This window comes from Homo sapiens, chromosome 8 (genome assembly GCF_000001405.40).
Source record: "Homo sapiens chromosome 8, GRCh38.p14 Primary Assembly".
In the NCBI taxonomy this organism is placed as follows: domain Eukaryota; kingdom Metazoa; phylum Chordata; class Mammalia; order Primates; family Hominidae; genus Homo; species Homo sapiens.
In genome coordinates this window covers 124,144,208-124,161,795 of record NC_000008.11, presented here as the reverse complement: position 1 = coordinate 124,161,795, position 17,588 = coordinate 124,144,208, and the positions used below count along the sequence as shown (strand labels likewise).

Below are 17,588 nucleotides of genomic sequence, written 5' to 3'. Positions count from 1 at the left end.
TATGCTAAAGATTAGAAATGAGAAAGAAACAGATTTTTAAGAAGGAAAAATAAGTTTTTCTAATAATTTATTTTAGATATTGTCGATACTTTTAGACCACTTTGACAGTTTATTTAAAAGGTAGAAGTAACTTTTTTCCCAAAAAGCCAGGAGTATTTTATTTGTATGAAACTACACAAGAGTATATTTTTCCCTCTGTACCTGCACACCCCAGGACAGTACATAGCACTGGGCCCCTTCCATCCCAAGAGTCTATCATTCTACATGAAAATTTAAACTTCTAAGTCAGAGAAATAAAGAGCTGAGTCTGCTTTAGCAAATAATTCACTGCAGGCTTTATTTATAAATAACAAGAGTACCAAGTGAATTTTGCATTTCATTTAATTTACACAACTTGGAAGGTAGAAGGACTTTTTAGGATTCCATCAATTTCTAGAATCTCAGCGTTTACCTGTAATCAATTTCACTCAACTTTGTATGAATGACAATCTCCTGGCCAAAAGCATGCCCAAAGGAAATTGGAGGAGCTGTACTAAGTTTTCCACCCTTTCCTACTTAACCATGATTTTGCTTTTCTATTTTCTATTGCTTGGGTGAGAACTATCACTCGACACTTGCCCTAATATCTGAAAAAGACATGCCTTGGTTTGCTGCTCTGTTGTCTTCAGTGGGGGCTCTGGAGCTAGCCCAACTTCCCAACCAAGCCTGCTCTCACCCACCCACTGCCCCACTATGCCACCCTAGCCCTGGAGTTCCTTCCCATCCCCAGCTTTGCCTGATGAAATCCTACTCTTCCAGGCATGAACATTCCTGTCTCCATGAAGCTTTTACTTGCCCCCCATAAAAACAAATGGCATCTTCTACAGGGCTCCCTGTGCACAGCCACTCAGCACCTTCCCACCTACTGCTTGTACTGGAGTTAGCTGTCTGCTCTCAGCCTTCCCTGCTGAGAGTGAGCCTCTCAGGAAGAGGCTGTGCCCTATTCTATTTGTCTTTGAGGTTCCATCTCCTCTACTGTGCCAGCATCTGATATGAATGAAAGTCTGTTGAATGAGTGAATAAATGGGTGGATAGATAGATGAATAATAAGGGAGTGAGGCTGAGCCACACTAACCACCCTTCTTGAGAGTCTACCTGTGCCAGGTGCTTTATGTACACAACTACCTGGAATTCTTACAGGAACCATGGATAGTTCCCATTTCACAGAACAGGAGTCTCCAGAGGCTATCTCCTCACTCTGTCCACTGGATTAGGCTGCCTCTTGTGACTCTTCATGGGAACCAAATGAAAGGTTGGCTGCCCGTGAAGGGGCGTTGGAGGGGAGAATGGGGAGATGGGATGGGGATGGGAGGGATGTCATCTGCCTGAGTCTCACGTGACCCAAAGCATACCCTGTCATGCCCCACGTCAGCATTAGCAAGCATAGCTCTGTCCTGCAAATGCAAATGCTAAAATTAGTTTAGCTTCATTCTCCAAAGGACATCTTTCCCCCTCCCTGCAGTGAATGCATTTACATAATTTTATTCTGAGAGGAAATAATCACTCAGCTTTTTAAAAAATGAGCCTCTTTAAGTATGTCTTTTTACCCTCTTCTCCCATCTTTTGCAAGCTGAATAGCAGTTCTGCTATATGATCTGCATTCTTTTTTCAGCATTGGTAGACATAACAGATCTCAACAACGTGGGGAGGCAGGTAAAGCAGTGCTGGAAAGGTCAGGGAAGCCAGGCTGTAAGAGCAAAAGAAAAGCAGGAGCCCCTTTGCTGATGGCCACACCCCTCCTTTCCTAATCCAGTTGGCACCCAAGTTAGACCACCTGGCATCAAAGCTGGTTCAAAACAATCTTTTAAAGGAAGAAAACTATGCAGGCGGGAGTCATACAGTGTAAGACACCCTGGGTCTATACGCAGACAGGGCAGGTCCCTTTGCTGATTCCTAACTGAACTTTTCCATCTGGAAAGTGGGGATAATAATACAGAACCTGCTCAAGTGACCTCAATGTGCCACTGTTCAGTTCGTCTGATTTTTGGTAAGGAGGTTGGTTGGTTTAGGATCCCATGAGGTTGGGGACATGGTTAAGACAACAAGATGAGGGTTCCCAATTGACCACGGAAAGGCTCTCTTATCTTGAGTTTGGAGGCTGGTTGACCTTCCCAGTGTGTTACTAGGTCAATCAACGTGTTATCTCTTTTGTTGTACTTTAAACCTCATTGTGACAGGGGCTGGTTTTCTATATAAATCAGATACTCCACATATGCAGGGACTTTGGATTCTGGTTTTTCTTTGCTAGACTATGCTTATCCAGTTGCAGGAGTTGTGTGTTTCTCTGGCCAGGCTCCTGAGAGTATAGCAGGTGCTCTTAAGGTAATTGTCTGGGGGTAATCCCTCCTCTCCAGGCGCATGCTCAGTCCTTATGCATAGGTCCCTGTGCCCTGGTCAATACTATGTAAATGCCAAGGCTCCCTTTTCCCATTAGGTAATATAATTTTTCCAAGAGTGTCTACCTGACCCATGCTGAGACAATTGAATTTCTTTTCTGGAATTTGGACTTTGGAAGAGAGAAGCAAAGACTGGGATTCACACATATAGCTGTGCTGCCAACAAAGGCCAGCAAAACATTGTTGAGTTTACTCAACCACTTGACACATGCAAAATATTCGATAAAGGTTTACTTTATTATTATTGATATTCTTTATAATCCTTCCAGCAATCCTGCCATGTAACTATTTTCTCATTCTAAGAATCAGATGAAGAGCTCAGAGATTCAAAATTCACCCCAAGGCAGAGTAACAGAACTAGAACCCAAATGCTGCTCAGTTTGCTTGCAAAGTCCCTGCTCTTGCCATTGCACTCTGAGCCTTGTTTACTGGTAGCATCATGACCCACCTTTACAGTGCAACTAAAAATAAGAAGTATGCTCACAGATTAGCTTTGAGTGATAAAATGCAGGCACAAAAGAGCATATACTGTATGTTTTTAAGTTCAAAAACTAGCCAAACTTTACTATGATAATAGAAGTCCAGTTGTTACCTTCGTGAGGGGAAGGGGAGAAGGCACAAAGGGACGTTTCTGAGATACTGGTGATATTCTGTACCTTGATTTGAATGCTGGCTACACAGGAATATTTACTTTGTAAAAATTTGTTGAGTTGTGTACTTAAGATTTGTGCATGTTATTGCTCTTGTGTTTGTTATATATCAATAAAAAATAAGAAAGGAAGAAATGAGAAATAAACTGAATTTAGGGAGGAAAACTGCCCCCTTTCTCTCACCCTTCTTATTAACCAGACTGTTTTTACTCATTTTAATAAATTCAATAGAAAACATGATAGCTTTATTCATTTTCCTGTATCTTTTTCAGACTTAATTCTTAAACATCTCTCTCATATATATGTAAATATACATTATACATATAAATATAATTGCAGTCATCTGCTAGATGCCAAGTTTTCTATTTCTGTCGTTATTGATTACTACTAAATAAAGACAGAAGTAGTAATGTTAAGCTTTTTACAGCATAATTATCAACTAAATAGCAATTGAATTTGTTTTCCTGAATCCTGCCTTCATATTTTCAATGATCCAACTTGTTTTCTTGTCTTGTAAGGCCAGAAAGCTGTAATGACTCTTAATACTCTAGAAATTAACAACCATTATTATTTTAGCCCACTTATTATGTTTAATATATTTAATGAAATTTTTACTAAAGTATAATACACATAAAGCCACACAAATCCTAAGTGAGAACTTAATGAATTATCCCAAAGTGAGAAGTCCTAGCCAGAGCAATCAGGCAAGAGAAAGAAATAAAAGGCATCCAAATAGGAAAAGAAGTCAAATTATCTCTCTTCACTGATGATATAATTCTATATGTGGAAAACCCTAACAACTCCACAAAAAGGCTCCTAGAGGTGAGAAATGACCTCAGTAAAGTTTCAGGATACAACAATGTATAAAAATCATTAGCATTTCTATACACCAATAATACTCAAGCTGAGAGAAAAATCAGGGATATAACCCAATTTACAATAGCCACACACACATAAAATATCTTGGAATACATCTAACCAAGGAGGTGAAAGATATCTACAAGGAGAAGTACAAAACACTGCTGAAGGAAGTCATAGATGACACAAACAAGTGGAAAAACATCCCACACTCATGGATTAGAGAATAAATATCATTAAAATGGCCATACTGCCCAAAGCAATTTATAGATTCAGTGCTATTCCTATCAGCTATTTCTATCAGAAAATGACCACCAACATCATTTTTCACAGAATTAGAAAAAACTATTCTAAAACTCATATGGGATCAAAAAGGAGCCTGACTAGCCAAGCAATTTTAAGCAAGAAGAACAAAGCTGGAAGCATCACACTACCTGACTTCAAACTATCCTACAAGACTACAGAAACCAAAACGGCATGGTGCTGGTACAAAAGTAGACACATAAACTAATGGAACAGAATAGAGAACCCCAAATTTGCATACCTACAACCATCTGCTCTTTAACAAAGTTGACAATACCAAGAAGTAAGGAAAGGACTCCCTATTCCATAAATGGTTCTGGGATAGCTGGCTAGCAGAAGAATGAAACTGAACCTCTACCTTTCATCATATTTTAAAATTAACTTAAGATGGATTAAAGACTTAAGTGTAACACCTACAACTGTAAAAACCCTGCAAGATAAACTAGGAAATAACATTCCGGACATATGTCCCAGCAAAGATTTTATAATGAAGATATCAAAAGCAATAGCAACAAAAACAAAAATTGACAAATAGGACCTAATTAAACTACATAGCTTCTGCACAGCAAAATAAACTATCAACAGAGTAAACAGACAACCTACAGAATAGAAGAAAATATTCACAAACTATGCATCTGACAAAGGTCTATCCAGAATCTATAAGGAACTTAAACAATTCAACAAGAAACAATCCCTTTAAAAAGTGGGCAAAAGACATGAACAGATACTTCTCAAAAGAAGACATATTTGGCCAACAAATATATGAAAAAATGCTCAACAGCATTAATCATTATAGAAATGCAAATCAAAACCACAGTGAGTTTACCGTCTCACACCAGTCAGTATGGCTGGTATTTTTTTAAAAACTAAGATGTTGGCAAGACTGCAGAGAAGAGGGAGCACTTAGAAACTGTGGGTGGGAATGTAAATTAGTTCAGCCAATGTAGAAAGCAGTTTGGAGATTTCTCAAAGAACTTAAAGCAGAAGGGCCATTCAATCCAGCAATCCCACTACTGGGTATAAACCCAAAGGAAAATAAATCATTCTACCAAAAAGATACATGCACTCATCTTTCATTGCAGCACTATTTACAATAGCAAAGACATGGAATCAACCTACATGCCCATCAACAGTGGACTGGATAAAGAAAATGTGGTACATATACACCATGGAATACTATGCAGCCATAAAAATGAATGAAATCATGTCTCTTGCAGCAACGTGGATGCAGCTAGAGGCCGTTATCCTAAGCAAATTAATGCAGAAAGAAAAAACCAAATACCCCATTTTCTCACTTATAAGTGGGAGCTGAATATTGCGTACTCATGGACATAAAGATGGGAACAGCAGACACTGGGGACTACTAGAGGGAGGAGGGTAGGATGGGAGTGAGGGTTGCAAAACTACCTACCTGGTATATGCTCACTACCTGGGTGACAGCGTCATTTGCATACCAAACCTCAGTGATGTGCAATTTACTTACCCATGTAACAAACTTATACATGTACCGCATGAACCTAAACAGTTGGGAAAAAAATTATACCAAAGTGAGCATACTTGTGTAACCACTACTGAGGTCAAGAAAGGGAATATTTCTAGCCCCCCCAGAAGCCCTCTTTGTCCCCCTTCCCAAACACTACCCTCTACTTCTCCCCGAGGCAGTCACACCAGAGATTAGTCCAATGTATTAGAACACTATATTGAGAACTGAAACCTGCAATCACAGTACACTGTCTGCATTAAGGTGATTTTATCATTCCAAACAATTCTTGCTCAGGAAAATAAAGTTATAGGTAATCTTATTGTTTGTTTCAGGTACTTCCCCTAGATTCATTTATCCAGACAATCAGCCACTCTTCCAGACATCATCAACCCCTTCTCAGGACAAAGACTAGGCTCATAAAATGAAGAGCCTGTGTAAGATTGCTGCTTTCCCTTCCTTAAATGTTTGGTGGAATTTACCAGTGAAATCATCTGTTCTTTGTGGGAACATTTTTCGTTATGGATTCGATTTCTTAAATAACTAATAGCAGTATTTGAGTCATCCATTTCTTCTCTTGTTGCTTTCAGTCAGTTGTGTTTTCCAAAGAATTTGTCCAGTTGAAGTTACTGGTGTAAAGTAGTTTATTACATTGCCTTATTCACTGTCTGTACAATGGGAACTTATATCTCCTCTTTTATTTCTAACATTAACAATTTTGTTTTCTCTGTATTTTCTTTATTACTTTTGGCCTTGTTCACTTTTCTATTGCTTTCATTTCAATGATCTCTGATCATCTCTTTATTTCCTTCCTTGTAGATTGAGTTTTCTTTTCCTATTTTTTTAAGGTAGAAATTTAGATCATTGATTTTAAAAGCTTCCCTTTTTTCTCATATCAGTATTTAAAGCTGTAAATTTCCTTTTTAGCTGTATCCCACACATTTTGACATGTTTTTTAAATCAGTCAGTCAAAAACATCTTATATTTTACTATTAACACATGGCTTGTTTGGAAGTATGTTTCCTATTGCCAAGTACTTGGAGGATTTTCTAGAAGACTGATTGTTATTAATTTCAATTTCAATTTGGCCAAGAGCATAGTAACATTTTAATCTTTTAATATGTATTGAGACTTATTTTATGAAAAAGCATGTGGTGTATCTTGGTGACTATTCCTCATACCTTGGAAAATAATCTGTATTCTGCTGTTGTCAGTTGGGTATAAATTATGCAAATGTCAATTAATTAAAATTGGTTGATAGTATCGATAGTAGTTGCTCATTCTTCCACTAACTACCAAAAGAGGAGGTTATAGTTTTCAACTATTATTGTCATTTCTCTATTTTTTCTTTTAGTTTTGGTCAGTTTTTGCTTAATGAACCTTTGTGATTTGTGTGCATATTTATTTTGAATTGTTCTTTTTTTTGATGAATTGACACTTTCAGTATTTAGGAATTAGGAAATTAGTTTTTAGGCCAGGCGCAGTGGCTCACACCTGTAATCCCATCACTTGGATCACCTGAGGTCAGGAGTTCGAAACCAGCCTGGCCAATGTGGTGAAACCCCGTCTCTATTAAAAACACAAAAAATTAGCCGGCATGGTTGTGCACACCTGTAATCCCAGCTACTCAGGAGGCTGAGGCAGGAGAATCGCTTGAACCTGGGAGATGGAGGTTGCAGTGAGCTGAGATTGTGCCACTGCACTCCAGCCTGGGCAACAGGGCAAGACTCTGTCTCAAAGAAAAAAAAAATTAGTTTTTAAAAAGTTAGAAAATAAAGTCCCCCTTTATCTCTAGTAATACTCTTTATCTTGATACCTACTTTGATCATTTTTTTCAATAATTAAGGTTTGACTCTGTCACCGAGGCTGGGGTGCAGTGGCACACTCATAGCTCACTGAAGCCTTGACCTCTCCGGTGCAAGCAAACCTCCCACCTCGGCCTTCCAAGTAGCTGGGACTACAGGCACACGCACCCACAACCAGCCAATTTGTAAATTTTTTGTAGAGACGAGATCTCCCTATATTGCCCAGGCTGGCATTGAAATCCTAGGCTCAAGTAATCCACCTGCCTCTGCCTCCCAAAGTTGTGGGATTATAGGAGTGAGCCACCATGCCCTGGCAAATTTTATTATATAGCTATAATTACAGTGCTTGTTTGTCAAAATGAAAACAGAAGAAAAATAACAAAACTGTTGATTATCAATCATGTATTAAAAGTAGTAAGAGGTTCCATAACACCAAATAGACTAGTTCTAATGTTTTCCCTAAGATAAATTTAGCAGCTCTAGCTTCTTCAGTGTTTATCAAAATACAAAAGAACAAAGTAGAAGTCGTCTTTATTGATGGCAGATCAGACCCCCTGCAGGCTGAGAGAGAGCAAGTTACATCACACATGGAGATGGGGTGCTCCTGAGGGGATGTGGGTTTAGATGGGCAGCTTGCCCAGCTTGCACGTGTTACTGCCATTGAGGCCCCAGACACCTCGCTCGTGTGTCTGAGCAAGTGTGAATGCTGGGGATGAAGGGCCCATTTTGGCCTCATGCTGACTAAGGGACAGTGGGGCCCTGCATCCCCCGAGCTGGCCACAGCAGGTGGGCAGGTGGGGTTGTCGGCCTGGGGGAGAGTGAGATGGCCATGAGCTCCAAGCCCAGCACCTAGTAACCTTGGGAGCACAGGGACAAGCACAAGGCTGTGGAACACAGGGTGACCCATGGACAAGTGAGTTGTGGGGATCTCTATTGTGACCATGCGGAACTGACTGTGGGCTGCCACTCCACTTCCTCACATTCCTGAGGGGAACGACTGAGCTGGCAACTCAAACTGCATACCTAGGCTAGGCAGGTCTCTCTCCTTCCCATGTGGTCAGATTTTCTTGGCTTGGATTTTTAACTGTTTTTTTTTAAAATGCACTGAGTTCTGGTTAAAAACCACCCACCTGGCCAGGCACGATGGCTCATGCCTGTAATCCCAGCACTTTGAGAGGCCGAGGAGGGTGGATAACGAGGTCAAGAGATTGAGACCATCCTGGCCAACATGGCAAAACCCCGTCTCTACTAAAAATACAAAAATTAGCCAGGCGTGATGGCTCGCGCCTGTAGTCCCAGCTACTCAGAAGGCTGAGGCAGGAGAATCACTTAAACCTGGGAGGCAGAGGTTGCAGTGAACTGAGATTGCACTACTACACTCCAGCCTGGCGACAGAGTAAGACTCCATCTCAAAAACAAAACAAAACAAACAAAAAAGCCAACCAACCACCAAAATGGATCTCAACACATCTCAAAAGCCAGGGGCACACCCTGCGCTCCCCACACAGTGACTCCTGGAGGCCAGATGCCCATGGGCCTACATCACTCCCCAGCTCTGAACAGTGAGTTGATTTTACTTTTTACAATAAAAGCTGAGTAATATTGCATAGGAGTACCAGAAACTGCCATATTGGAAATAAAAACTATTTACATTAAATAAAAAGACTGGCCGAAGTCTGTGTCTTCCACATTTACAGCACGGTGAGATGCACATGGTGACTCAACCACAGAGGCAGCTTCTGGCACTCACACCATGAACTACACATTTGCTACATGAGAGTAAAGTGGAAGGCAAGAGGAGGAGTGAGAGGATCGGGGTTCGTGTTCACTTCTGGTTTGGGAGCTGCTGGGACAGCAGTCCAGTCCTTCACAGAGCCCGTCGCCGCTGATGGTGCGGGTAGCCTGAATATACCAGTTCCTGTGGTGTAGGGAGTGAGCCCCAACGTGTCTGTGATCCCGGCTGCATTCTTGGTGTTGGGGAGGCCCCGCTTGTTGGAGGACTGCATCCCAAGATTGACCCCAGCTAGCATCCTCATGAGCCCCTCCTGGGCCTCGTCCATGAGCTCTCTGTCATTGCAGTCCACCACGAGGATCAGGCCTTGTGTGCACTGGAAGTAGTGGCCTTGTCCTGGCCACCCACATCCCACAGGCTGAAGCTGATGTTCTTGTACTCCGCATTCTCCACGCTGAAGTCTAAGGTGGGGACGGTGGTCATAATCTCGCCCAACTTCAGCTTGTACAGGATTGGCGTCTTCCTTGCAGCATCCAGGCCCACCATGATGATGGGCACTTCTTTTGTGCCAAAAAAGCCCTTTAAGAAGTTGGTGAAGATGTCCCCCATGCTTGCGAGTGGGTGGAAGGACACTGGCCAGGGACACCTCAGTGGCAGCTCCCCCAGCCAGGCATTGGTTCCGCTCCCTACTTTGGTCTTAATAGAAACACAACAGTTCTCTTATGCTTATTTTTTCATAAAATCTTTTCTATCCTTTTGCTTTCAAATTATCTGTGCTCTTGTGTTTAAAGCGCATCTCTTATAGACAGCATATAATTGGATCTTGGCCTTTTAAAATCTAGTTTGACAATATCTGCCTTTTAATTACAGTGTTGTTTGGTCCATTTTTATTTAATATAATTAGTCACATGGCCGAGTTTAAGTTTAACGTTTTGCAATTTGTTTTCTCTTTGTCACATTTGTTTTTTGTTTCATTGTTGGACCTTCCAAAACTAAGCAAAGAGAGGATCACCTTAATCAAATCAGGGATTAAATTATTAGAAGCCTCAGTCCTTGGGAGGGATGTTCTAGTTCCTAGTTGCTGTTACACCTAAGTATCAGCCTTTCATGTTTTCCAACTAACAGTCTTGAATATTTTCCCAAGCTGCTCCTTTTTGGAGAGCCGTGAGCCTTATTTTATTTCTCTCCAGTCCTGTGAGAATCCCCAAAACTCTACTCAGCTTCCCGGAAGCTCAGCTTTTGCTTTTGGAATCAGCAGCCAAATTGAGCAGTAAAGGAGCTGCACTTCCCTGGCTTTACTGGATCTTGTCCTGTAAGCTCTTTGCCTTGGTAACTTTCTAATGCTTTCATGGGCATTCTTCATATTTTGTTTAGGTTTTTTTTTTTTTTTTTTTTTTTTTTATCATCTTCAGCAGGATGGTTGGTCCAAAACAACCTAGTCAGTATTGCTGGAAGCAAAACTCATCATTATCATATGTTATTATTTACAGAAAAAACAATTCATAGATGTCATGGCCTCATCTGGTAATCTAGCCTGTATAACTTAACTGCTATGTAACTTGGATAAGTCATTGCCCTGCCCTGAGACCTGAGTTCCAACACTGGCCAAACACTCACAAACATTTGGTCTTTTGTATGTTTTTTGGGATCTTGCAGGGGTTAACTCCAAAAATAATTTTGTTTTGGTAGTTGTTTTTTTTTTAATTCTATGAAATTAACCTGCATTATTAGTGATTATGTAATTAAAGTTCTGAGGCAGGTAACAATTTTTATTAACCGGAAGCGTCAATTCGTTTGATGTAATCACAGCGTGTTATCAATAGCAAAACTTAATTTTGCTTTGTGCCCATATTTCTCCCTAAATATTATTTATTTGCATTTAACTTATTTTAGCTTAACAGAGATTTACCCAACCCTCTAGTGACATTTTCAGGACATGATTTTAAATGACACCTGTTATCCAGTCCCATCACTTTGTCTTATTTATGTTGTTGTTTCCTCAGGATTGGAACAAGTGACACGTCATGATTGATTTATTTATTTGTAAAGAGTTTGGTTTAGGGAGCATTGCATTGGAAATATACAAGTAAATTTGGTTTCAAGCATCCTGATCTGTTTTTCACTCGATGAACTGAGATTTTGATTCCTTTTTAATAAAAAAGCGGGGAATGTCATGTAAGAAAGCACCCAATGAAAGCAGAACCCAGAAGGAAGGGTGAGGTGGGAGAAGCTGGCTGAGAGAGAGAAGATGTCGAAAAACTTTGGGAGATCAAGTTTGTCATGGAAAGGGCAACGGGCTGGGAGCTAGAAGACCTGGGTCCTAGTCTCAGGGCTTCTGGCTGTCAGACTTTGGATAGGTCACTTCTGCCAATGGGAAGCTCAGGAAGGTAAGGGTAGAGAGAGCAGTTCTGAGCAAAGTCCATGTCCAAGGGAGGTGGAGGGTCTCTTTACCCAGTTAATTCTGAGGGTTTCCAAACAGTAGATATCCCAGGCCTTCCTTGCATGTACTCTAGGATCAATCTACCAGTAACTTCCTATCTCTAGCCCTCAGTTTCTGCATGTATAAAATAAGGAAATTGAAATCAGTAATCTTTAAGGCCTCTTATAAGCCCCAGAATTTCAAGACTTTGAAAGGAGATTTTAAGATCTTACCCAGCTTTAGAAGTTTGGAGGACCTTTGAAATTGATGCAAAATGTTGTGTGTCATGTGTGCATACAGATGTGCATTTTTCTGGGGAGAGGGTTCTTAATGTCATCATTAGGTTCCAGTATGTTCCATGAATGCAAAAATATGAAGAAACCAATGGAAAATTAATCTTAGTAATTTAATTATAATACTCTAACAAGCATCTTATTGAATAGCTTCTGAGTGTTCATATGGGCACATAGATGAATAAGATGCAGTTCATGCCTTTGAGGAATGGTTAGTCAACACATCGTCAACAGGAGTTGTATTGGTTCTCCTGGGATGTGTTGAATTGGGTCAAGAAATTCTGGGTCCTAGTCCTAGTTCCTGTAATATTTGGCTGTGACACTGACCTTCAGTTTGCTCAACCAAGAAATAGATTTAATAAAACATATTTTGCTCCCTCCTTAAAGTGGTTCATTCGATCTATAGGTTAGAGCCGTGTTAGTTACAAGGGATACAGCTGTGAATGAAACTGAGTCTGCCCCATGGAACATAGATCAGTTGGTAAGCTATGGATTTGATTTTCCTGGGATAAATGTTACAGTGTGGGTGAGAAGTGAGAAATAGATACTGTTATTCACCTCAGACAGGAGCCTGAATAAATGGCTTTATTTTCTATCCTCCTCTTCTTTTTATATTAAATTGAACTCAGAGAATAAAAAAGCATCTAGACCACCCATTTGCCCACTATGCTTCCTGAATACAGAGAGATAGCAGAGATGGGAACTGTGAGGTCTCTCTAAGGGACAGCCATATGTATTTTGCAAAGTGTTCTCTGGGCTTTAGGAGATAACGTTGGTTGGAGGATGCTGGTGGCAGCTGCTGGGAACTGAAAAGGATTGAGAGTATATAATGATACTCCCAAAATGATGGGTTGAGCATGGGATAAATGGCATTATTTCAAAAGCACATAGAAATAATAACTATATTACTAAATATTTAACAGCCTTCTAAAATAATATAGGGGCATCTCTATAGGCTAGAAACAGAGAAAGAAAACAGTAAACCATCAGCAGTGTGTATATTAGGGACAGACACTTAAATGAATATATTTAATAGTCTATATGAGATAAAAGAATGAATAAAATTCATTGATTTTTGAACAAGGACAGTGATTATGAAGGAAGAACAAGCAGTTAATTTGTTATTTTAACAAGTGCAACATTCTGAAGATTATAGAAGAGTAAATCTGTAAACTCTAAGGTTAATTATTAAAAGATAAAGAGGTAGAAAAGTTGAAAGTAAAGATAAGTAGAGGGGACAGAGCAAGAAGATACAACATAGGGGTTAAAAAAGATAAAATAAGGTGCTGGAAAATGACATGTGAAAATTTACTGCCTGAGATATTCCCAGAACTGAGGAAAGACTTGAGCTCTCAGAACAAAAAAAAAGATCTACAAAATGGAATTCAAAACAAAACAAAACAAAATCAAACCTGGGCACAATGTAGCACTGCTTCAGAATAAGCTCCGAAAGGGAAACCTAACAGCTACCATAGAGGAAAAGCAGATTACCTCCAAAGGGGTACAATCAGTGCCATCAACTTCTCAGGAGCCACATCAGATGCCATGAGACAATAAAGAACCAGCCTCAAAGTGCTGAAGATATGTATCTTTGAAGCTGAAATTCCATATCTAGCCAAGTCTGTGTTTTAACAAGCCTTCTAGGAGATCCTGAGGCATGCTGAAGTTTGAGAACCACTAGGCTGCAGCATGCTCTCCACAGACATCTAAGGGAGGACTTTTCCATTCTCAATGACTCACTACTAACTCCTTTGCTCCTGCAAATGCCTGGAACTTGGCTTGCCAAATTCTGCTCACTTTTGCCAACACCTGGAGTGGGTGGCATAACAGGGATATATCTTAACCTAAACGAGTGAAATCACAAGGGGGTTGAGTTTCAGACATTCGTAAGGTAGGTTGGAGTGGGACAAGGAGGGGCTGAGATAAGAGGCGTTATTTGGGGATCCAGATGGCTTTCCAGCAGCCACCTACATTATATGGGATGTCGCTTACTTGGGAAACAGACTTGGTCTGTGGGGAAGTGAGTCATCCTCATCTTCCCTCAGCCTCAGTACTCTAGAAGTGGAGGCTTCTCTGGCTGAGCGTGTGTCTGTGTGTTTAATGATTTCTTTGCACCAAGCCAGAGGTTGAAAGAAAGTTTGCAATAAATGTATATAAAGGGCGTGAGACCTACTTGCTTGGTTTTCAAAAGGTTTATTTTCATTCTTTCTGGGAGATGCCCTGAAGAAACTCTTTAGAGATCTTTCCTGCCAGCTAGTTCAGGTATTTACTGTCTGGCTTTTCTAGCTCTGAGTCCAGTTTTCTGCCTGAAGGACTTTTGTCATTTTTGAAGTGTTTATTTTTCCCTTTGGGTAAAAGTGAAGAAAAAATGTGACTTTCTATCAGTTAGCAGTGGAGAAGTGGTTTGAAGCTTTGCTTTTCAAACACAGTGGTGATCAGAGTTGTCTCATAGGGACCCAGAGCCCGGAACTAAGAGGAGTGGGTGGAAGATGGTCTGGAAGCCTGCAGCATCACTGTGTACTGTGCCTTGGGCTCAGTCCGAGGTTAGATTGTCTTACTCATCTGACAAAGAAATGCGTTTTGGATGCAGGGACGAATGAATAAGTGTTCTTATTTTCTGGTTGATTTGGTTTCTGTTTCCTGGCACCTAAGGCAAAATGATCAGTCCCTTGATAAATACTTTAAAATCTTTGTATAGCATCCTATAGCATGCAGAGCGCTTCTATGCTCACTGTTTTTGACTGAGCCTCCCAGGGGCACTCTGAAACTTGGATAAAAAGTGTCACCCAGTTCCGCCTTTGGGACAAAGAAGCTGAATCTTGGGAATGTTTAAAAGTATACATTCAGGAAGGTGCTGAATCTGGACCAAGAGTCTGTCTCTTTAGATTTTCTCCTCACTTAGGCAGGTAATGGAGCAAATTCATCTACCTTCCATTCAGGGCAGGGGAAGGAGAGAGTTTACTAGAAAACCATCACCATGAGAGTGATAAGGTCCTTGCTGCTATGGAGAGAATGAATTATCTGGTCCCTGCTTGGCCCCTTGTGTCATTACCAACTGGTAACAACCTGGAGGCAAGGGGAATAAAGAATTTGTCATCTCAGTCTCCAACATTAATTCCTTGAAAGGGGTCTGAATACAATAGAGAAAATTGTATTTTCAGCCATGCTTGCTCAAAAAGTAACGCTATTTAAATCAAGGGCATAACATTAAATCACAATTACAATTCGATGAAAGTACCTGGAGAGGAAAAGGATAATGTAGTGTGGGTTTGGGGTGAATCAAGATTAAATAGTCACTGTTGATTATGATAAAGAAGGAGAGAGTAGTGAAATAGTTACTTCTGGAAAATTGCGATGCTACCACTGGGTATCCAAAGGCTACACAGGGTAAATTTGGAATCCGTTTTTCATTTTCCTTACTAGTTGTTCTGCACTGGTTAATAAATATAACTTTGCCTCTCACCCCCATCTGGGGTACAGGAGAAAGTGATCAAAGGATCACATTTTAAAAATGGGTTTTATTATTTAAATGACTGGTCTTCTCTTTTTATTACTATTGTTTGAAAACAGCTGAGATCTTTTTTTTCTGATTACCATGCTACAGATGTTTATTGCAGAAAGTTTGGAAAAAACAGAAAAGCATAAAGAATGTAAAAATCACCTGTAGTTCTACCACGCGAACAGCAGTAATATTAAGGTGGTATTGTATTTACATCTAAAATTTCATCCCCACACCCATACACAATCCGCTAATTATCCCAGTTCTCATCAGCCTAGGGTGGCTACTAAAGCCACATTAGGGAGAAGTCTTTCTTTTCTTCTCTTTATACCCTGTCCTCTCTTTGGAGGGACACATTGCCAAGGCTTAAGGAAGGTGGTGAACAGTGCATCCTGATTTGCTAGGGACTTTCTGGTTTTAGCATGAAAAACTCTACATCTTGGGAACACCTCAGTTCTAGGCAAACTGGGATGGCAAGTTTACCTCTAACTCCTCCTCCCACCGCATCAGCAGAAAGCAAGACTGATTCGGTCCTGGAGAGCTGGTGGGAGGCTGGCACTTGGCGGCCATGTTGCTCTGTTGAACAAGGCTAATGTGCTAAGGTCACTGCTCATTCTTCTCAGGGCTCTTGCTTCCTGTTGGGTCTGTGCCCAGGCACAGTGAGTCTCCTGAGCTCACCATTCCCTGCCTGCCTCAGCAGCACCTAAAGCAAAAAGGCAAAGCAGTGGATTGGTTAATAAGTTAGTCCTGCTATGCTGGTCCATCTACCTTCCATTCAGGGCAGGAGAGGGAGACAGTTGACTAGAAAACCATGACCTTGAGAATGATAGGGTCTTTGCTGATATTGAGAAAATAAATTCTCTGGTCCCTGTTTGGCTCATCAAGCCTGTTGCCAGCTGATTACAACCTGGAGGCGAGGGGGAATGGGTATTTGTCGTCCCATCTCCAACATGCAAGTGCCTTGATGCGCAGATCCCTTTAAAGCAATGAGAAAACTAAGGGTTTTTGATGTGGATGCTAGGTTGAGTTCTAGTGTAATATAGCTCATTGTAGTATTATCAGACATGAGCTGAATGCTTTGTATATTGTGAATTGAAACATATGAGAGAAATTTTTATTTGCTGGGGAGACTGATTAGAAAATCAGTGAATTTGGGTAGTAATGGCTTGTGATTCTTGCAACAAGCTGGTGGATTTCCTAAGGGCAGGGTATGACTTGAGTTGGTGGCTCTGGCTCAGTGAAGGCTGAATCAAGGTCAAACAAAGATGAGGCCTCTCACTGGAACCAGCTTTGGCAGTCATGGAGCAGGTGTGCTAGTGTACTATCTTCCCTCTGCTCGCTTTTGCCTCTGTAGCTCCACCATCCTCCCTTTTCCCACACTTTATCTAGACACCCGGCACCAGCCCTTGAGGAACTCTTCAAGCCCTAACCATGCTTCCCATCAAAACTGACCGTCCTGAGGTCCCTTCCCTCAGGGGGTGGTACAAACAGCAATGACGAATCGAGCCTGCCCATCTGGGTGAATTTAGTGTCTTGGCAGCTCCTTCTGCCTATGCCCAAGGTCCCCACCCTCCTCTAAGAGCCTGGCACTGATACTTTCTGAATAGGAGTTTTACTGCGTTCTGACTCCCATCTTCACTTTGTCTCTTCTTCCTCTTTCTGATTTTCCCACGTTCTATCCTGTCTCCTTCTCTGCCTGGGAACTTCAGAGTCAAGGTTGAGTTGGATGGTCTTCCTGACTGGTTTTGGTCTCTACCCAAATTTCTATGAGTTTTATTTTTTATTTATTTATTTTTTTAAACTACCCCACATCTCTTGATTCCTGCCCAATCTTCAAGCGTTCTAAACCACCAAGGCCAACAGCACCTGAGAAACCAGCAGAAGCCCATCTCTGGCAGCCGTACCAGCCGGCCCATACTCAGAGCAGAGAGCAAGGAATTTGCTTGGTTCCCAAGACAACCATCACAGATCTAGAGGGGGAAGCTGTTCAGTGACAGAGCAATGGGTTTCTCTACTGATTCCTTTCACTGGGGTTCTTGTGGCTTAAGAGATGGGCCCCAAAGGGAGGTTAGATATGGAGCCAGCATATTAGATCACACAATGACTGGAATTTG

The 17,588-nt window shown here is 41.0% G+C and overlaps 1 long non-coding RNA gene and 1 pseudogene across 1 annotated transcript in view; one reads left to right on the top strand and one right to left on the bottom strand.

Annotated features, from left to right (window-relative positions):
• FER1L6-AS2 (FER1L6 antisense RNA 2) overlaps window positions 1-17,588 on the top strand; it is a 125,452-nt gene that overhangs the window by 9,727 nt on the left and 98,137 nt on the right. The gene's annotated exons all lie outside the window — the stretch shown is intronic.
• Window positions 9,161-9,950, bottom strand: ARF1P3 (ARF GTPase 1 pseudogene 3; annotated as a pseudogene).